Source organism: Homo sapiens, chromosome 3 (genome assembly GCF_000001405.40).
Source record: "Homo sapiens chromosome 3, GRCh38.p14 Primary Assembly".
Classification (NCBI taxonomy): domain Eukaryota; kingdom Metazoa; phylum Chordata; class Mammalia; order Primates; family Hominidae; genus Homo; species Homo sapiens.
The window spans coordinates 134,849,027-134,871,039 of record NC_000003.12 but is presented as its reverse complement, the minus strand read 5'-3'; the positions used below and the strand labels follow the sequence as shown (position 1 = coordinate 134,871,039).

General features: G+C 47.1%; 1 protein-coding gene and 1 long non-coding RNA gene across 2 annotated transcripts in view, besides 2 other annotated features; one reads left to right on the top strand and one right to left on the bottom strand.

Moving 5' to 3' along the window:
* EPHB1 (EPH receptor B1) overlaps nt 1-22,013 on the bottom strand; it is a 465,208-nt gene that overhangs the window by 389,428 nt on the left and 53,767 nt on the right. The window lies entirely within an intron of this gene.
* LOC105374121 (uncharacterized) lies at nt 16,555-18,628 on the top strand. The gene is made up of 4 exons (XR_924525.4): nt 16,555-16,641; nt 17,293-17,564; nt 17,660-17,849; nt 18,470-18,628. It is a non-coding gene; the product is annotated as an uncharacterized LOC105374121 (long non-coding RNA).
* Nucleotides 17,820-18,029: an enhancer, noted in NCBI's record as "active region_20574". NCBI's record gives its function as "activates an Ori minimal core promoter by ATAC-STARR-seq in GM12878 lymphoblastoid cells {active_cell/tissue: GM12878}" and the evidence as "EXISTENCE:reporter gene assay evidence [ECO:0000049][PMID:35858748]".
* Nucleotides 18,140-18,199: an enhancer, noted in NCBI's record as "active region_20573". NCBI's record gives its function as "activates an Ori minimal core promoter by ATAC-STARR-seq in GM12878 lymphoblastoid cells {active_cell/tissue: GM12878}" and the evidence as "EXISTENCE:reporter gene assay evidence [ECO:0000049][PMID:35858748]".

Sequence of the window (22,013 nt, the reverse complement as noted above, 5' to 3'; positions counted from 1 at the left end):
AAGGGCTCACAGGCTACCCACTCCAGGGGCCTAAGGGGCACCCAAGGTATTAGACAGACAGTAGCCAGCCTGGTATAAGGGACCAAGCAGGGGCTTGAAAGACAAGAGGAAGCTTTGGGACTCTACTCTGCTTCTTATGCCATATAAACAAGGCAGCTGCTCAACTTCTGTGAGCCTCAATTTCCACACACAGTATAAAAACAGGCAGACATGGCTAAGAGGGAGCAGATACTAAGTACTTACTCTGTACTGGAAACTTGGTGATTCGCATTTCGTTTAACCCTCACAACACTATGTGCAGTAGGTATTTTGTCCCCATTGTATTGACAGAACTTCTGAGTCTATTCAGCCTGTGGCTGGGGTTTTCGGAGGTTAGGTTGTCCCAGCATGTCACAGTTGATATCAGGCTGTGCTGCCAATCTGGGGCAGCATTAGATAACGCCAGCGTTCATGGTGCTGATCTGTGTCCACGGTCCAGCACGATTCAGAATTTGTTGTGTCTGGTTGGGTCCCTGGGAAAAGAATCAGTTCTCTCCTGGCCTTTCTAAGTGGGCTTCTGAATATTCCCCAGTTGATGGCAGGAAAACTCCCCTTTGTGAACTGGGGCTACTTCCTGCTTTGTTCTGCTATCTGGGGCTAGAGGATGGTATCTTCTCCTTTTCTTCATGCCCTGATTAAATATACTCAGAGTGGGGAAGCTGGGATCTATGCTTTCCTAACAACCCCACCCTGACCTTATGAACTCTGCCCGGGGTGTCTTCCTTGCTCAGATTAGATGGCCGAAGACCCTGGTCATCAGGTCTAGATGTGGGCCGAAGTCCTCTTGCCTCTCTCTGGACTTTGGCTCACCTCAGGAAGGCCTGATCTCACCTTCTCTCCCATATAGACCCAGCTCACTCTCTCAACAACCACTGCAATTAACCCATCTATGCCAGCCATCCAAAAGAAACCCAAGCACTAATAACTCTCTTAAATATCCTTACCTGATTTTTCTGCTTATCTGCTCTTTCTTTGTGCTCTGTAAAATGCACAGACCCAGTGCTCACAGCCCTGCAATGGCTCGAGAATAGCCTTGCATGTGTGCCCCATGAGTTAAATAGAATGCTTACCCAAGGTCTGCTGTGTTTGTCCCCACACCTGTTTGCCAGCTGTATTTGTCATTATAAATACTTAATTTAATTAAATATTAATAAACCAATAAAGCATGAATGTAAAAAGAAAGAGCTGTGGCTTCTATGATAATAAATTGAATGCTTTGGAAAGACACAACAAATGCAAGTTGCTAAAAAAAAACTGCTATCACTTTTGTATAGAGTAAGACAAAGCTAAAAGATCAGAAACAAAATGTCATTAAAAATCTAGTAGAGTTTGCACTCAAATTGCTTTAGAGTCTTAAAGTTCTTGCTCTATTAAAAGAAGCTAGAGGTGGAAATTGCAGAGGGTGTGTTTCAGATGACCAGAGCTGAATGGCCTCCAATCACTCAGCCAACCAGGGCATCACATCCCCTTGACCTCAGCGAGTGGTTCAGCATAGGACATAGACTTAACCCTCCCACGGTCCATCCAAGGGCTCTTCCTGGGAGAGCATGAAAAAAACTGTTGCTATTATTTCCCACTGAATTCCCCCGGAAGGTGTAGTCCCAGGAAGCAGCCATCATGGTGAGGTCATGCAGAGTCTATTGAGAATGGCATCAGCCCAGAGAGAGCAACCAACAGAGGTGCAACAAGAAACCAGATCCACGGCACTGTTTAATCCTCCCAGTGTACTGTTGATAAATTCCCTGTTTGCTTAAGCCAAGTGGGTTGGGCTCTCTATCACCTGCCTGGCTTTTTCTCCTCTAAAAACTCCCTTCCAGTTTTGCTTCCTAGATTATTTCTCTTTCCACTCCTCTTCTTCCTCCACATCAAAATCATCATCATCATCAAAGCTAACACTATGTAACACCATCTAATCCTCTCACAACCCTGTGAAGTATCACTGTGAGGAAACTGAGGCACAGAAATGTTAAGTGGCTTGCCCAAGGCCACAAAACTTGTAAGAGGCAGAGATAGGATTTGAATCCAATTACTCTTGTCTCAGGTAAGAGCTTATCAGGCCCTGCAGGCCTAGAACCTCAAATGCATCAAGCGGCAATGGTACAGGATGGCAGTGGGCACAGCACGACAGCAAGGCCCACTGCATGGATTCATTATTTTCCCATCTGGAGGTCCCTATTGTGCCTTGTGCAAATGTCTATTATTGCATAAGCCACAAGTGTATCATATTCACTGTTTGTCAGCTTTTTTTCCCATAATTTGGTGCACAACTTGAAGCCAGGAATATGTCTTATTGTTTTCTTGTCTGTATCTCCAGAACCTGACACATAGTAGGTCTCAATAAATATCTACTGAACTGAACTGAGTCAGTCTCACACTCAGTATTCCATTTCTCAAGCCCTCTGAGATCCTTTCCCTCTTCAAAGATCAGCTTCTCCATGGCCTCTCCCTGATGTGCCTGGAGATTAAGATCACCCCCTCCCCTGGCATAAGCACCTTACTTCCTCTCTCCCATTTTACCTTCCAAATCAATTTTCCTTCTTGGAAGAACATAAGATCCTCTGTATTCCTTGTAACCTTCATTGCACATTACAGCAGCAACACTTAGGGGGTAGTTCATTTTCTCCAAACTACCCTGTGGTAATGAGGGTAAATTACCACCCATAGGGCAGTGGTGCCCCCATCTATGGCCTTAGGGTCCAAACAGCTGAGCTTTATGCACAAGTGATTAACTGATAAAAAATGGTAAGAGCCTCCTCTCAGTTATGCATTTTAAGTTAAAATATAACTCTTTGATAGAGCAGCCAACCAGAGATCTTAAGTAGCATTAATCATGTCCACATTTAAAAATCTGATACATAATTTAAGAACAAGAGGCAAAGAAAGATAAGCACTTAAGTAGAATTGGGTATCTTTTCATTAAACCTTAACTCATCCATCAGTGACTCATCTAACCCTAGTCTTCTCCATGGCTGCGGTGGAATCAGAGTCCCTTCTTCAAATCTCCCTGAACTTCATGCTTAGAGGTCTTTACTTACTGTCCTCAGAGTATACCCTCTGCTGGTTCCAATTCTCTCCCAATTCTCCCAGTTCCTTTTCCATTACAGACTGAAGAAACTGTTGGTTCCAGAGCCCAGGAGGCGAGAACTCCAGCACACAACTCCCACAGCATTTCCCTCAATGACCTGGGAGGCCAATCTACTCTCCAATTCCAAACTTGAAGTGAACTGCCAAGGGCGGGTAATAGGGGCTGAGGGAGATGGAGAATGGGAACCTCCATCCCCATCATAAGTCAAATTGGAATACAATCTTGAACTCATTCGGTGTTTTTTCTCCAAGACTCCTCCCCATCCCATTTTCCATCACCAAGTTGAAGCTGGAGTCATGTCTGTCTTCTTACTTCTAATAGCCATTCTACTGCTGAAGCCTGTTGCTTCTTCCTTCCCCAGGCCAAGTGCACCTCTCACTCCCTGTCACCTGCTTATTCCTCTCACCTAGGCCCTTGGGCTGCTCACTGGAGCAGCCTCCTACTTGGCCCCTGCCCAGCTCCTACACGCTCCACTCCATCTGCCCAGCATGTCCTGATTAACTGCACAGAGACCCACTGGGATGGCACCAACCCCTTTACTGAGCATAGTCCAAATGCTGGTTCCATCATTTGAGCAGTGGGGTGTTAGGTATGACATAGGCAGAAAATGAGAGGGAGAGTAAAACCTCCCCTAAATGAATAACTTAGACATCCACACATAGTGTTTTTGAAGGGAAACTAAAGATCTCTGTCCACTAGAATCAACTGTAACTGAATTAAAGGCATACCTAAGGCTCATGAAGAAATGTGACCCACAAGAGGGATTGGCCTACACCTAGAGTATAAAAAGAAGCTTCTCAGAGGCAATTAGGCTGTGGCCCTCCCAGCACTGCCACCCCCTCCCATCTATACAAACATATTGTCCGTTCTCAGTGGACGGGATCAGCCCCCAGGTATCTAGTGACACGATGGGCTGCTCAATGTGTTCAATGACCAGAGGTTGGCCCATGTAGCTCAGATTCCTACTTAACAAAGGCCTTCTGAGGTTGATTTTCTGTCCTTGTGGAGTTTTCTAAGAGATGTGTGGGCAAGAGGGTATCTGCTCCCCTTTAGCAGTTCTGCTCCCAGGGTGAGGAAGGAACGGGGCTAGGCCCATATGTGAATCTCTGGGAGCCTAGGATATGTGCCTCTGCCCCTGGAGAGATGGATCTGTCTTCCACATGCTGATGAAAACAAATTTGTTTCATCAAAGTGGTGAAGTGCCTTGGTAAATGTTGCTGCATGTCCTGCAAAAACCTAGCTAAATACCCTGCCAGCTGCCCAGAGTTCCTCCTTGGCATTGGAAACCTGAAAAAGACATCAGCAAGGGCTTTGGAGTGGACAGACCAGGCCCTATTCCCAGGTGTCCCCATACCCCCACTCCAGCAGTGGCCAATGACTCAAGACACCTTCCCAGATGACCCTAGGACCTTAGGAATCCCACAGAGCTTGACCATCAGGAAGGGGCAGCAGGCAGCAGGTACTGGGCATGACAGAAGTGGGCATGGCCTTTGGGCAGCTTTCTGGAGTCTTGGACCCTCTTAAGCCCACCTCTGAGAAGTAAAGAGCCACACCAGTTCCAGCCGAGAGCAGTCAGTACTCCTCGAGTGACTCTTTCTTTGTCACATACAATTGCATTCAAAATTTCAAATTTGGAAAAGTTAAACTTCTCAATCATTTTCACCATATCTTCCACATACATCTAGAAAGAGGAAATGACAAAGGAGGTAGACAGAAGCAGACTTCAGCTGCTGGTCCAGCTTTCCCAGCCTCTTGCCCACTGTCCAAGGCTGACCTTCCCTGGGACTCAGGCATCAGGAGAGGAGAATCAGGACAGGGGCAGGCAGCCTCTGCTCACCCCTCACTCTGGCATGGGGCTGCCTTTGGTTCTGCCTTAGCTCAGGGTGACCCCCATTCCTTTCCCGTTAACCATCTGCTCAGAGATTCCTTATTTTTAACAAGTCCCAGTGAGAAGTCTCCTCCTACCTTTCTCCAGATAACGTAGCTTCTTAACTTCCCCTTCCTATAAGCATATATTATGTTGAACCATATGAATTTCCCAATATCCAACCGTTTTAACCTTTAAAAATGGCAATTTCAAATGGTTGAACCTAATACATACAAATATGAATAAAGAGTCTTAATTACTAGCTTTTTCATCCAAAAGGTAACGTATGAAACACTCTGTTTTGCATCTTGCTTGTTTGACTTTATTCATCTTGGCAATCTTTCCAGTCAGGTCACTGAGAGTGCCCCTTTCTTTCTTTCTTTTTTTTTTTTTTAAAACAGCTGCAGATTTATTTCATTGTGCTGATGTTTCATTTTATTTAACTAATTCTATAATGATAGACATTTGGGCTGTTTCCAATCTTTTGCCATTATAAATAATGCTGCAAAGAATTATCTTGAATATAATTTTGTACAAGTATAAGAATATCTGTAAGATATATTACTAGAAATGAAACATCAGGGTCAACGGGTATATGTATTTGTAAATTTGATAGATATTGCCAAAAGATCCTTATTAAGAACTGTGCTAATTTACACTCCCACTAGTGATGTATGAGAGCCCCCAGATCAGTGATTCCTAACATTTTCCTTTAGATCAGTGTATTTCAATATGCAGGTTGTGGCTCATTACTGAGACATGAAATCCATTTCATGGGTTGCAATTAGTATTTTCAATGAAATAAGATAGTTTATAATATAATCAAAGGAGAACAAAATAGAAAATACCACATTGATTTACATGTAGAAAGGGTAAGCATTGTTTTGGGAATTTTGTTTCAGATATATAGATATCTATCCAGAAAACACACACACACACTCTCTCTCTCACACACACACATGCACACACACACACACACGTATGTTTTACTATAGGTCATAGTCAAAAGTTTTTGAAAACCAGCCTTAGATCTTGAACCTTTTTGAGAATCTGAGGAAAACTGTAGAAATTCTTCGTGGAACATTCACTGACACACATAGCATCTCAGTTCCCTGACCTCTTAGAGGCCCATTCAGGGACTCCAGGTCTGTGGGATGCACTGGGAGTTGGATGTGAGCCACTCCGGGACAGCCCTGTGGACTGTATTCACTTCCCCTACGGTCAGCCTGGGCTGGCAGGAAATGGGTATTGCAAAAACATCTGCTCCACTGAAGAAACAAACCATGCTACCCCCTGACATATTGCCTCCCTCTTTTTCACAGCCATGATGAGATTGTCTCCCACTTGCCGCAATATTTTGGTTCTTATGGAAAGCAAGTAGAAAACGGTTTCAGAAAAGCAAAAGCAGGAAAAGGTTTCAGAGAGATAAAATAATTCATTTCCCTCCTTCAGGTTCACTGATGTCTTTTTACTCTGACTCTGTGGCTTAGTAGAGAAATAGAACTATTAAGAGGAGAGAAAAAGGGAGGGAGGGAGACAGGGCAAAACAGAATGAGAGAGGATTGTCATTCAGTCCTGAGACAAGGTTTAGAAAAGGCCAAGGACAGCAGGAGAGCAGAAGGGGCTTGCAAAGGCAGGAATGTGTGTGCCCAGGTATCCAGACAGAGGGAAGGCAAGCTGCCTCTTGAGGGAAGAAAACAGGCTAGCCCCTTTCTGAAGTCAAGACACTTCCAAATGGCCTGGAATGAGACCCCTGGCCTTTGGGAACCTTCTCCTGACACTAGGATGGCTGAGCATGTTTCAGAACCCATAAAACGGGATGAAAAGAAAGGAGGTGAATAGAACCCCACACAAAAGCCATGAACTGCAGTGATGGCTCAGAAGAGAGGCTGGTGGAGCCACATAAAACATACAAAGGCCCCGTGCTAGGGAGCAGGGTTGCAGCTGAACCATCGTCTCTGTTGTTCTTAGAGGACAGAGGACAGGATGCGCTACTTTCCTGAGAGCATTTTTCCAATGAGACAGCCATCATCCTGACACCAGCGGGTATGCTGTAGATTTCCCACCCCTCTGTCCCTGAACCCCACCATCACCAGCCTCCCTGATGAAAATTACTGTGCGGCTGTGAAGAGGATGTAGCCAAGTTTCCCACTTTTATTATCTGCTTTAACTCCCCAGGAGCCAGGGCTAGAAAGCAGTCTACGGCATAGGAAGCTGGACAGAACAGGATGCCAGCACGGCAGGCCTGGCTTTCCTGAGCTCCACTTTATATATGAAACTGGGTACGACAATGCAACATTAGCAAGAAAGAAGGAGCCATGCTTTGCAGGCTATACCACCTCTTCTATTTCCAGGCTTTGTGGTGAAAGAGCAAATGAAAAAATGTTGAATTTCTTTCTAAAAACTTGCTCCAAGAGCCCTGAAGTAATAGCTACCATTCCCTCAAACCAAGTATAGTAAAAGACTGTTAAGTCTTTAAAAACTTAGCACCAGTATTGATTCTCCTTTTACCTAATTTCTTCCTTCTTTTGTTCCAGTTGGCATTTGCTGCCACTTAAGGGGACTGGGTTTGAAAGAAAGCGCACATGAGGTTTAAAAGAAAGGCACATCTGCCCGCCTTGGCCTCCCAAAGTGCCAGGATTACAGGTGTGAGCTACCACACCTGGCCAGTTAATCCTATTTCTTAACTTAAACTCTTGACTTCTACAAAGATATTTCACTGGCTGTGTACATAAGCAATTGCAGTATGATGCGAAACAGGCCAGTCCAGGCCGGCAGATATACAAGAACAATGGGAAGATGCACCTAACAGGGCCTTGGGGAGCACTGTGGCCAGGGATAGCTTTAAAGAAACGTCTTTATTCCTTCCAGTAATTTACCAGTTAGCTAGGAAACCTCTGTGGCAGAAAATAGAGGCAGTGTGCACAGTGTGTGCACAGGCATGGGGGAAGATGAGAGAAGACAGGTAGGAGAACCCAGGTGGCATGAGGCCATGAGTGCCAGGTCAAGGGAACGCAGGATCCACCCCAGCTTCTCTCCAGGAAGCCCTGTAGCAAAGCCACACACACAGAGTGGTTTTCAGAAAAGCCGTACCACTGAGGATGGCCCCAAATTCCACTGGGCACCAGTGTGGCACACATTCCAGGCGTGGCACACAAAAAGCCCTGTGTGTGACGTACAGTCTTTCTTACACTGGGCCCCAAAAGGACAGCCCCTGTTGGCTCCAGGAGGAGGAACAGGAGGGTCATCAACTGTGCTGTGGGGTTGGAGGACACAGCAAAAGGGATGTCTTGTTTCCAGGGCCCAAGACCAGCCTTCAGATTCTTGATCCCCAAACACCAATGGCCACGGCAACATGTCCAGCCAGATCCTCTGAGCCACACGGCAACCAAGGCTGGAGCTTCCACCCCTGGGCAGTATTGGCTGCTGTTTGTTAGGAGCACTTTAATCAGTGCTTTATTGTAATTGACAATATATTTTAATTAGTGTTTTGATTTAATTAAAGTTTTACTCTAATTGAGTATTTTTCTTTTTCTTTTTTTTTTTTTTGAGCTTACAAGATTTGAACAAAATGAGGAATAATAGCTTGTTCAGAAAAATAAATCCATGACCAAGCAGCGTTGTACCCTCAGAGAAAGAACTGTGGTTAAATCATATGAAAGTCTGTTTTAGGGCTCCATGAAGACAAACTAAAGACACCCATGCACCCATGGAGTACGCTAACCTCTTTGGACCCAACTCAAACTGCTCTTCCTCTCTCCCTGTCCCTCTCCATCATCCCCCACCAGCCCCAAACCTGCACCAACTGTTCCTGCCTCCAAAGAGCTGCCCAGCAAGCCAGGTGCTTCTCCCAGCCCTGAGCCCAGCGCTAGATACTCAGGAGGCTTTGCCCATGGGCCTCTCCATCCCCCTTCCCTCACCTATGATGCTTGGGAAGATCTGGGGATCTGAGAGCTGAGCACAGGGGCACAGGAAGGCCAAGATCAATGTTCTCGGGAATCCCTGTGCAGCAAAGCCCCACCCTAAGGCCTTCATGGGAGGCTGCTAAGTTCATGTGTTTCAGGGCTCCTCTTCACCCCTCCAAAATGAATACCCAAGCTTGGCTGTGGGAGAAGCTTGAGGGCCATTTAACACATAAGCTATTCTCTTTTTTTTAATTTAAATTTTATTTTATTCTAAGTTCCAGGATACATGTGAAGGACATGCAGGTTTGTTACATAGGTCAACGTGTGCCATAGTGGTTTGCTGCACCTATCAACCCATCACCTAGTTATTAAGCCCTGCATGCATTAGTTACTTATCCTGATGCTCTCCCTCCCCCGATGCCAAACAAGCTATTATTTTAGCCTAACAGTACTAAACACATTTTCCCACCTCTGTGGGGTCTGATTTCTCCCCCTGTTTCCTTATCTTCCCTCTCAGTCCCTCACACTCTCCCCGCTCCCATCCCTTCCGTAACTCTTTCACACAGTTTTTCCTCAGCTTTTCTTTTCTGGAAGCTGGCATGACTTTCCTTATTCTGAAATCCGTCTGCCTCCTCTAGCTGGTACTGCAAATTCTCTATGTCTGGTTGCTGAAAGTCTCAAGTCTACACTTGGAGGCTCACTGCCTCCCTATCCATTCACATTCCCTCCTCATCCCCCAAAATGTGGAGTCCATACCACTGTGCCAGGAAACAGGCCTGCCAAGGTTGTCTCCTGGCCATTGCTCTCTCTGTCCCTGGTTGTCTTGGCCACATCTGATGTAATGTACTCAGCTGCTTTCTGCTTAAATATCCTGGCCCTTGACAACTCTTGAATGGCATTATCTTCTTTCTACTTGACATCTCTTCATATTTCCTGCCCCCCAACACTAATGTCACTCTGTACATATGTGCCTATGCCCTGCTACATTCCTCACCACACTCATGCCCTTAGCACTATGATTCCAACATCTGTAGACCTAGCCCTGCCCTCTAACTGGCGTTACAGTTCACCAGTTTCCTCCTGGGGCCCTGTTCTTCCCTGTACTCTTCCACTCACTGCATCTTCCATATCCAGGCAATTACTAAGTGCTTCTTAGAGAAGCACACATAGTAAAACAAAACGTGCAGCAAACACGTGCAAATGAAACAGTGAACTTTGTAGTACTACTTTCACCTATTAAATCTGGGGATGAGCCAGGGTCTACTGGGGGTTGCAATGACTCATGAGATGCTCTAATGTCAGTCACAGGACAGCGTCAAGAAATCTTTTTTTTTTTTTTTTTTTTGTCACCTGGCCAGGCTGGAGTGCAGTGGCACAATCTCGGCTCACTGCAACCTCTGCCTATTGGGTTCAAGCAATTCTCCTGCCTCAGCCTCCCAAGTAGCTGGGACTACAGGCACCTGCCACCACACCCAGCTAATTTTTATATATTTGGTAGAGATGGGGTTTCACCGTGTTAGCCAGGATGGTCTTGATCTCCTGACATCGTGATCTGCCCGTCTCGGCCTCCCAAAGTGCTGGGATTACAGGCGTGAGCCATCGCGCCCGGCCAAGAAATCTTTTTTTAAAGTGTAAAGTGGAGTTGCTTCTTATGCCAGTGTTAGGGTGGAAGGTGCATATAGTCAAAACTGCCCTTGAAAATCCCTAAGGAGGGCACTGTGCTGGAGATAATGTGTTATCTTTCCATGTCTCCAACCAGCCTAGGAACAGATGGCCCCTTTCTTTGGCTAGGTACCAGACGAAGCAGTTGGTCTACACTTAGGTGCCAGAGAACACGAAAACCACGCATCTTTAACACAAGAGTCCTTAACACTGAGTATGGCGGAGATGCTCCCAGAACAGGAGACTGGCTGAGGGGTCAGCTGATCCCTGTGCCCCTTTCCCAGAGTGTGTGTGTGTGTGTGTGTGTGTCTGTGTGTGTGTGTGTGTGTGTCCCTTCCTTCTCTTTTGTTACAGCTGAATATGACACAGCTCTGCACTTTCAACAGCTAAAAAGTGTTCAAAAAATATACAATCTTCAGTGTTTATCAAAAGAAAAAACCATATGAAAAAAGGTGAAATACATAATATATTTATTTCCAGTTTCACAAAACTGGGGAATAGTTAAATATTATACAGCCACTGGATGGGCTATTACAAAGACATCAAAAAATGAAAATTATAGAGGTTATGTAAAGCAAAGAAAAGATTAACAACAAAATGATGAAGAGAATAAAAGCAAGATACCAAATTATGATTGCGGCCGTATAAATTTGTATGCACCTAGAAATTTATACAATTTATGGAAGAGGAGTCAAAAAATGAATTTAGCGATTTTCTGACCAAAATCATTAACCTGAAAAGGGCAAACAAAAATAACTGCTTGTTAATTGGATGAATGATTGCTCTTGGGTAGGAGAAATTAAAAGTCCTAATGGGGCAGCTGGCAGGCTCCATGAGGACAGAAGCCAGGGTCTTGAAGCTCAGAGGGAAGATGCTATGAAGCCCTGTGACTAGCCACTGTAGGTTCCAGCAGAAGGCTCAACGGGGTCTCAGCCAGGGGGTGGGGACACCAGGTTTCATAGAGCAACACCCTGGGATGAACCCTCTAGAGATCCCAAGTCTGAGACCACTGGACCCAGATCAGGACCCAGATCTGCTACACACCTTGGCCAGAATGGCCTTGAACAAGCTAGAAATCTCTTTCTGCTCCCAAGTTAACATCCAGCAGGATGGCTGTGGGGGTGAGGGCTGCTGCCCAAGGTGAGTTTCCCTTAATCCTCCTGATTAACTCCCCCTGAGATCATGTTTGCAAGGAACTCTTCTCTGCCGGTCGGTCACCATCAAACAATGAGATCGAAGGAGGTGCAATTAAAGAGACAAGGAGCAGAGAAAATATCATACTGCATGTCTCTGTGTCAGAATCTAAACCAGTTAACTGAGAGATCCTGATAAGAAGGACTCAAGAAACCAGGGAGAAGTCCAAGGTGTTTTTCCACCTCTCAGAAGTAGATAGGAAAAAGAAAAAGCCCTATAAACTGGAGAATAAATCTCCCTTAATTCCTGCTTCCCTTGGTCCCACTATCTCAGCTCACTTCAGTCACCGTGAGGGCAGGGTGGCTGTGATATAAGCAGTTTTCCCCATATGTGGTGGTGTGGCAGAATCAGCTGAAGCCCCACCCCAGGGAATCTCACTCACCCAGTGGGAAGGGGCCCCGTATCTTCAGCAAGTGCCCCTGCGGGACTCTACTGAGGCAGGCTGGGCTCTGGGGACCCACTGTGGGGCTGTCCTGGCTGGAAACTCTGGCCAGCTGGCCTTGGTTCCAGCTCTGTCATTGACTCTGTGGTCATTTCCCTCCCTGCTCCACCTTAGTGTCCTCAACAGCAGGATAAGTGGATTCGACCAGCTCCAAGGGGTCTATCATTCCGTAGTGTTATTTTTAGCAGCCTTTCCAGAGCAGAGACGCTTTCCTGCAGCCCTTTCTGGAGGTGATTTGGCACTCAGGTTACATAAGCTCCAGGCTCCTTAATTTACGTTGGGGCTGCTCTGTGGGCTGCTGATGGAAACAGATTTTAAATCATCCCTTGCCATGTTGACTGCAAACACACCATCACTTCCCTGACTAACATGCCAGCCATCAATGAGACCCCATATTTAACAGATGTTCGGCAGTAATTACCTGGACATCAGATACATTCTCCCTGTTTACTCAGCTATGGCAGACCCACACGCCCTCCCACGTGCCACTGCCAGTGTTCACAGACACACATACAAAGCACTGGCATCAAGTCTTACCACACAGGGGAAAAAATGAGCATTTAGAATGGTAATAGAATAGGCTTCTGGGGCCACAAGCAAGGAGTGCATATCACCCAAACCTACAGGAGCATTCTGGAGATAACAGAGATGATGATGATGATGATGATGATGATGATGATGATGATGATGATGATGGAACAATAAAACTTGCCATTGAGAGCAAGTGAAAGAGTCCTCAGCCTGAAGGAGTTCTTAAATCTTAGGTGGAGAGTATCACAAGCTAAGACCTCCTGGAGGGCTTCTGGGAAGCCTGCTAAGGTGGTGCCATGCTTCATGAAACCACCCTGACCAGGTCAGACCCACAGCTTGTGGTAACAGGGGGGTTGACTCATGCTAACAACATTCACAAAGACTTATGTGTAAACCAAGATGCCAATGTGTTGCTTTTGAATGAAATTAGTACTTATCCAGGTAGCCAGAATACCTACTTAGATTCACTAGCACATCCCTCTCCCTGTAGACCACCTGCATGGAGTTTCACATTATCCAACAGAGAGGAGGGGAATAAAGGATAAAATTTAAAGATTTAGTGGCCCAGGCTCCAGTGGGCTGTGCCTTCATCTGCACCCTTGGAATGTACTTGGTGTCACTTGGGACAGGTGTCACTTGGGGTGAGCACTGCCTCCCAGAATGGTCCTGGGGTGGACGAAGTCTTTGTTTCTATTCCCGTGAGTAACCACCTTCACCCCCAATCAACCACAGTACCCACCAGGCCCAACTTCCTTTACCCTGCTCAGAGGCACATGCCAAACTGAAATCTGCACAGGAGGAGCTATTGAGTGGACTGGAGTGGGCACGGACCCCAGGGCTGACACCCGCAGCCTGTCAGTGGCCCATACGCGTCCTGGTGAAAAAGTGAATCAATCACACTAACCAGACTGCCTGTATCGAAAGTAGGAACCAAGACCTGCAAGTGTGAGGCAGCTAGCAGGAGAAGCCCAGGCTCAGGGAAGACACAAGACAGAACTGGGACAAGCAGAGAAGAGGAAGGAGCTCAGATGAAGGAAAATATACGGAGAGGAGTACAGATAGCAGTGGGAAGCAGACAGGGGCTGAGCACAAAGAAATTCCAAGGTGCATGCTGGCTGTGGGGTCAGCACTTGGCCTCCCAGGAGCCCACCCTAGTTGAGCCCTCCACCTCCCTGCCCCCCAAGGCTGGCTCATTTGGCTTCCCCTGGTTTTCTGGCATCAGGCCCTTTCCACGACACCCCACCCCAGTCGCCTGAGAAGGTCTCAATTCCCACAACAAAAAGAACCTGCCTAAACACTGCCTCTGGAAGGATACATTCCTTCTTTAGATGCATTTTATGCAATACAGATTCACACAGTTCAGTGAGATGTGCAAACAGCACACCTTCCTTCTTTTCCTTTTTTACAACCTTCCTCCTTGTCTAAAACAGTGCTGTCCAATAGAAACATAATGCAAATCACATAGGTGATTTAAAATTTTTTAGTCACATCAATAAAAGTAAAAACAGGTGAAATTAATTTTAACGATTTAGTTTACTTATTCCAGTATGTCCAAAGTGTTACCACTTAAAGATATAATTAGACTAAAAATTGTCAAGACATTTCTTGTTTTTTTCATACTAAGTCTTCAGAAACAAGGGTGCATTTTACATCGACAGCACCTCTCAGTTGCGACTAGCCACATTTCAGCTGCTTGGCAGCCAGATGTGGCTGGTGGCTACCATACTGAGTAAAACAGTTCTACAGTTTGATTTCTTGTTCATCAGCCTCCAGCTCTATCGATGGCAGGCAGAAATATACAGTAAAGTTTTAAAAAATTCCATTCCTTCCCATGAAAAAGAATCTCTTTGCAGATGTACTCAGGATCATTTGCACTCTCTTCTACAACCTCAAGGAGTGGGGTGCAGGAAAGCCTAGCTATCCTCATGGTGGGGAACATGAAATGTGGCTGTCAGCTCCTGCCCCCACTCACACTGAGGGGAGGCTGGGTTGCCTAGTTCATTGGGCCATGGGGTGCCTATACACTGCCACCTTGCTCCCCATGAAGTCCCTTTCCAGGCCTGGTCCTGTCTGCTGGTGTTCTCCACACACCCGTGCCCATAAACCTGTCTAGACGTCTCAAAGCCCATGACACCTCACAACCTTTCCCAACCCCAAGGTGGGGTGGTGGGACACTAGCACTCAGTTACAAACTTGCTTTCCTCTCCTGCTTTCCACCATTTTTTAGGAACCAGAAGGGCTTCCTTATTTGTATTCCTGTGTGAGCCCTGGAGCCTCATGGATTAAGGGTGCTATCTATAGTCAGGACACCTGACTTGGGATCCTGACTCCACCCTTTAGTAGCTACATGACCTTGAATAAGTTATCTGACTCCTCTCTTCCTCCATGTGATCATCCATAAAATGGGTATAATATTGCCATCCCATAGGGCTGCTTGCAGATTAAATGATGAAAACACATAAAACACTCAGTTGAGTGCCAGGCACCATTTGAGGGCTCAATACCACGAGTTATTGCAGTGCAACAGAAGCTGCTCTAGGTCCTAGCTTTCTTTTTCCCTGTTCTGGGGTATATTTCCTCCCCCTATTCCTATGGCATCATTGGTGGAAGGACTATGGGAAGGAAAACAGCCTACAGATACTGAAAAAATGTATCAGAAGGAATTTCTAAGATATTATCCCCATAATAGTTACTACTCAATCAGGTTATGGCTCAGTCTGCACCAGGAGCCATCTTGCTACTTTGAGGTGACTTCTGATATCTCTGTGCAGATGAGTGGTGGGTATCAGAGGGTGCATGCTGCTACATCTTTATCACCATGTAGTTACCCCAAGGCTCTGTCTACAGGTCCAGCAGTTGAGTTTCTTCCAGTGTGGCTGTGCAATCCAATGGACACCTTTGAACTTCTCTCCAGTGTGTCTGAAACCCCCTCAAGGACCAGAGGCAGCCCATGCAGGGCAGTTCCATCACCCCAGTCCAAAGCCTCTGGCCTCTGGGGAGCTTCTCCAGACTCTTCTCTAGGTTTTTGCTGCAGCCTTTTCCTCCATCTGGGTTTCAAAGCCTGCCTGGAAGTCTCTGTCTTAAATCTTACATTTTATATTTATAACCCATTCTATTTTAGAAGATTTAAGGTAGCTTACAAGGATTATGTAAAATACTGAAAGATATATAAGCAAACAGGTAAAATATATATGTATTACTAAAATTTTAAAGAGTTGCTAAACACCACGGATAATAAGGTCAAATTTCTGACTATTGTGAGTGCGCATGTGTATATATGTATATGCCCACATATGTGTGTTGTGCACTCATGTATAGGAGAGACAGGTAAGCTGAACAAAAAATTTAACAGATTGTCCCAAGGAGTGGGCAGGGGATTATAATTCACTTCATTTTTTTCTTTATACTTTTCTATATTTTCTTAACTTTTTATAGAGAATCTATATTTGTTTTACAATATGAAAAAAGGCAACAAAAATTCTCTAAAGAAAAATAGGTGAGAAAGAGAAAGCCAAACCAAGCGTAAAGACATAAATTGAAGCCCATGATGAGGCTAAAACAACTGAATTTCTATGGCCAAGCCATGCATTTGGAGCTCAATTTTATAGCAGTCAATGGATGAGGAAAACCTGATCAGTTACACGGGTCACGGGGTCCACAGGACATACAAAGCGATTACTCAGAGAAGCCTGGCTGTCCCTGCTATGGAAGCATGAGGCAAACGCTTCCCATGGGGCCCCATGGAGAGGACACTCTGTGATGCAATGAATGCTGTCAGTGACACCCTCACAGTAAACACCACCGAGTTTCACAGGCTGTTCTAAAGCTCCTCAGTGCGGGCTGATGGCATCTCACCAAAATGCGGTGCAATAAAAGCAAATCCTTGAAGAGTGGAAACCTTGCAGCCAGGTTCATGGTGGGTCTGACTTAATCCAGAGGGAGAGTTTAGAGGATTAAGACCAGGACACAGATCATCTCCTCCTCCCAAACGGCTCCTTTCAGGCTTGGCTCAGCCCCTAAATCATCAAGCAGAATCCTATTCCTCCACTCACAAGAGGCTGCAGTCAAACTGACTCCGGCAGACATTTGTTCAGTCCACACATATTCATGCAGCACCTACTGTGAGCCAGGCCCTGTGCTCTCCTATCGCACAATTACTCCCAGTAATACCAGACCCGTCATATGCCTGGAGCTTCAACCTAGCTCAGCCCAATATCACCTCAGGGCTTGCAGCAAGGACAACACCATATTTTGGCATTGGAGCCTTGGGTGAATCTCCAGGGCAGGAGAAGAACATGTGTGCCTGCTCACACACCAAAAATGTTCACTTTTGGTATTGGGTGGTTGCAGCGAAGGATGATTTGGAGGCTTGAGTATGGGCTCCCAGGAAGGACTCCATGATGGATGGGCTCTCTGTCCTGGATGAGGACAATGCACTGCAGGAGATGTGAAGTTGCTCCTATATGGAACCCCTGTCTCTGTTTTCCATCCCTGCTTTGGCCCTGGGCAGGGAAGACCAAAGCCTTCTCTTCCTCCCCAAAGCCTTCTCTTTTCTCCATCCATACAGGAAGGGCTCAAGAATATTGCTGTGCTACGGTGCTTCTGCAGGCAGGTTCACCATCTGTGTAACTGTGGCTACCACCTTCCATCTTGAACTCAGACACAGACCTCTCCTCCGAGCTCCAGATCCATATATCCAATCTCCTTCTCAATAGTCACTTGCAAGTCTCAGCCATTTCAAAGTCAACCCAAAGTGGTAATCTTCAAATCTTTCCCATTTCAACAAGTGACACCACCATCCACTAATTGTAAAAGTCAGAAACCTGGATGCCATCTTTGGTAACTCTCTCTCTCCTTCTTCCTGCAGCCAACCTATCACTAAAATCTGTGTGTTTTATCCCCAAAACATGTCTGCCACTTCTCTCCATTTCCAGCTCCACTGTGAGAGGCTGCTCACACCACCCCCTACATGCCCTGAGGAGTCTCCAGGGGCACCCACAGCCTCCTCTGGCTTTCTCTGGGTGACCCAGGGAGGGCTAGGCCCTGTGAGCCACACCGGGGCAGCAGCACTCACCAGCTCACAAGTGCTTCCCTCTTCTGCCTTTGCTGACAACAGTCCCCCAGGTAAGCTTTCGCCTTCCCCTTTGTCTCCCCTTTTCTTTCCACTTCTCTCACTTCTGCTTTCATTTTCTATTCTACTTCTTTCTCTTCCACTTCTGAGCTTTGTCTATTTCTGTTCTCTTTCTTTCTCTCCCTCCCGACTCGGGCTCCACTTGCTTCCTCTTCTTCAGATGTGACAGTCATAGAAAGTCAGAGCTGGCAGTGACCCCACCTGCCCTCTGACAGTATGGAAGGAGACTGTGAGGCTCAGAGAGGAAAGCAACTCACCCACATTCTCACAGCAGTGGGCAGCACAGTCAGCCCTAGGGCTCAGATACCCCAACCTGGTCCAGCACTCCTCCACTTATACCTCACTGTTTTGCTGCTTTTTCTTGTCCCCTGTCCCTTATCCCATGACAGTGGCCTGGTGCTGAAGACAGGCCTAGTCATTCTTTGCACAATACCAGTCGATAATTAGGTTGCATAAGTATGTATGTATCTTTCTCTCTTTCACACACACATGCACAGACACACACACACACACACACACCCCACATTTACTGCACAGATACGGACACCTGCACCCAAAGTGTCAGAGGAATGTGACTTTACCCTCTCCAAATGCTCCTTTTGTGCGTTCTCAGGCCTTCCATTCTCCTTCCGATGAGGCTGATGTATTCTGTTGCAGTTGGATGCACCTACAAAAATCCTCTTCAAAATCCCATCACTTCACCACCAAGGAATTACTAAAATACCATGAAGGAGGTGCTCAAAGGCGATATGGGGCAGAGGAAGGAATAAGTGCCTGACCCTCTGCCCCTTCTCTCCTGCAGCCCCATATGTTCTTGGCACAAGAGGGCTACAGAAATCCAATAACATCTTCGGAACCCGTCCAGATTTGACAGAGCCATCTGTGAAAAGCTGCTTGCCAGGGTGGGAGTGGCAGGGCATGCTGTGGCTATAGATTTAGGGTCAAGGCAGACTGCCAGAGGGGTGGGGCAACCAAAAGGAGGGGACATTGAGGCAGACAGTGGTGAGGGGTGGGGACATGTGGATGGAACGAGATGGCCATGGACTCTCCTGTTGTGACCACTTAAAACAGGTAGAAATACGCCCCGAGGTGGGTAAAGTGCACAGCCGACTGCCAGGAGGGACATGGGGCACATAATCTGAACTTAAACCCTTGTAGCCCTGGGATTCTACTGAAAATCCACCCTTGGACAGAGTTTCAAAACAGACATTCAGCAAAGAAGGATGCATTAAGATCTCAGGTTCATCCTAAGGCCCATGGAAGCACACCAGGCCTCCAGGGCCTGGGAAAAGACAATAGCAGAGCTCTGAACATGGACAAAGCTACAACACAGTAAGAAGATTACAATATTTTTCCAGGCTATCATGATTTTGCACCATTTTATGGTTTTCAGCCAACATAACTCATTAAATGTGTAACAAAGAGTATTTAATAGCTATACCTTCTTTTACAAGACAACATGTGAACAAAACTCAAAGATAGGAAAAAACTCTCCTTTGTCAGGCAGCGGAAAATGGCCACAGTGTCCACAGGTCAGGGCACCCAAGGCAAGTGAGCATGGTTTTGCCCCCATGAGGGACTGGCAGTAGCCCAAGGAACAAGACTGCAGAGGCCAAGACAGCCCAGGTGTTCCTCCCATGCAAACCAATGCATACAAAGTCCAAAGTGCATACGGGTGGCTACAGAAAGAAGGGAAGCTGCAAGGGGAGTTGCAGGGGAAGGAGGGATGGAGGAAGGGAGGAAAACCCAGGGGAGCAAATGGGAAGTGGGGGACAAAGCAGAGGGGGAAGTGCAAAGAGGAGAGGGGAGATGGGGATCCGGGTCAAAGGGCACTGGGGATCAGGGAGGAAAGGCTGCAAGGATTTGACAGTAAGACCCCAAAGGAGGCCTGGAAATGAGTTTCTCCAGAGACCTAGTCACTTTTGGAAACCTGTCCCTGAGAAGCTTGCATAGCATAAAGTAGGCAGGTGTGCCCTGCTGGGCTCTGCCTTTCTGCAGCCTGAATTCCTCCCTCCAGACAAGGCCTGCTGGCCCTGAGAACTCCAGCCTTTCTTTCCCTTCGCTGGACCCAGCCAGACACTGGAGGGACACAGGACCAGCACCTTTCCCTTCAAACACACTCAGATCTTCAGTCCAGGAGGAAAGAAGGCAATGGTCCAACCAGGAAGAGGAGAAAAAGGCCTTTCCTGGTCCAGGCCCTGGCCAAGGCCCATCCTTCCATTGTGATGCAATTTCCCTTCCAGCTGCATCTGCTGCCCCCATGGGGAAGCAGATGAATGCCCCCCTGGCTCTGCACCAACAGGTTAGAATGATCTGCTCCAGCTGACCCTGCTCCTGGGGACACTGTCTGCACCTCCCTCGTGCCCTCAGAGTAGCCACAAGAGCTCCCAGGGTATGGAGAGTGAAGCGGGTAATGACAGGGAATGAAGAATCACAGCCAGCATGGGAGCAGGCAATGCCAGCCGCTCCTCCTTGCTCAGGCACACATTTCCAAAGCCTTCTGGGGCTGGCATGAACTGCCCGCACCAAGACTCCTAAGTTAGCCCCCAGACTCACCCATAGCCCCTTCTCACCACATGCCTGGGACACAGGCCTCTTCCTGCCCCACACTTCCCCATCCTCTGCCCCACCCGACGGTGAACAGTCAGTGAGGTCAAGTCCCCATCCCTGTGGGCCTTGAAGCCCCATTTCCCTCAGGCCGGGAGAGAATTCCCAGGGGGCAAGGTTGGAAACATCCCTCTTTCTCAGAGAAGCTCTCACCCAGCCAGAGGTCAGGCGTGGAGAAGCACCAGCAGACTAGCTCATCCCACAGTACAGAGAAGAACTAAGGCCACCTCTCCTCTCTCTCTGGGGAGCTCCTACTGCTTTGATGTGGAACAGATATGACAATGGCAGTAACTGGTGGGGAAGGAGCTTTAAAGCTGCTGTTTTAAATGACAGCTATTGTTCCTTGGCAATTTTATGATCAAGGAAAAGAAAGAGGCCTTTTAAGAAAGGAATGTAGCACATTTAAGGAGCCCTAGAGGATTGGAGAAGGTAGAAGAAAGAAGCCGCTCCAAAGATGAGGCAGCTCTGCTCGTCTGCAGCCCTGTCTTCCCTGGAGCCACAGTACACAGCCCCTCAGAAGCAGTTGAGAAACTCCTGGAAGAGGAACCCCAAAGGTCAAGGCCACCTGCTGCTGGTGACTCTCAAAGCTAGACCCAGCAGACATAACATGGGCAGGTGGTGGTCCTCTTCCCAGGATGATGGTCCTTTTCCCCACAATAAGAGGCTTCTTGGAGCAGAGTTAAAGGAGGCATATCCCCCCAGCCCAGCCCAGTAAAGGCAGATATGTAGCGAAAAGCAATTAAGCCAGATTCTAAGAACGGGGTAACAGACCCCGACCCACAGGTCTTTCTGGGGTGGCCCAGCCTAGAGTGCATCTCAAGAGGCAGCCATGCGAGGGCTGGTACCACTGTCTAGCTGGCACAAATGGTTCCTGATCCAGGGACAGAACCCATGCTAGGGACAGACCCATAATCTCCTAGCTCTGTCCTCGGGTGCTTGCTGCATTTTCATGTGCCACTACCCCCTCCAGAGTTGGCAATAGAGATCCCCATCTCCAACTACAGGCTCCACGTGCCAGTCCACCTCCATCTCAACTGCAAATGCTCGTAAGCCAAACACCCTCTTCCCAGGGCCAGATGCCCTCCAAATTTCCCATTTCTGACTCTGATCCTCTACCTTCCAGGGCACTCATCTTCCTCTCTACTTGATGAGATTCTGTTTCCCCTGGAAAAGCCAAAAGGACTCTTCTCCATGAAGTCCTCTTGGCTTTGCTCTTAGCAGTCTCTCCTCACTCTAAATTAGTAGTTCTCAAAGTGTGGTCTCCAGACCAGCATCATCAACATCACCTGGGAACTTGTTCAGAATGCTGTTCTTCAGGCCCCATTCAAAAGCTACTCAATCGGAAACTCAAGGTGGAGAGCAACAATCTGTTTCAACAAGCCCTCTACGTGATTCTGATGCTGAAGTCTGAGAACCACTGGTTAAGGGCCGTGGAACTCCATGACCAGTGTGTGTGCTGATGCTGCTGGCCCAAGCACCACACTTTGAGAACCACTGCCCTAAACCTCTGGAGCACTTCTGTCCCTCCTGTTCATCTGAAACTCAGGCTC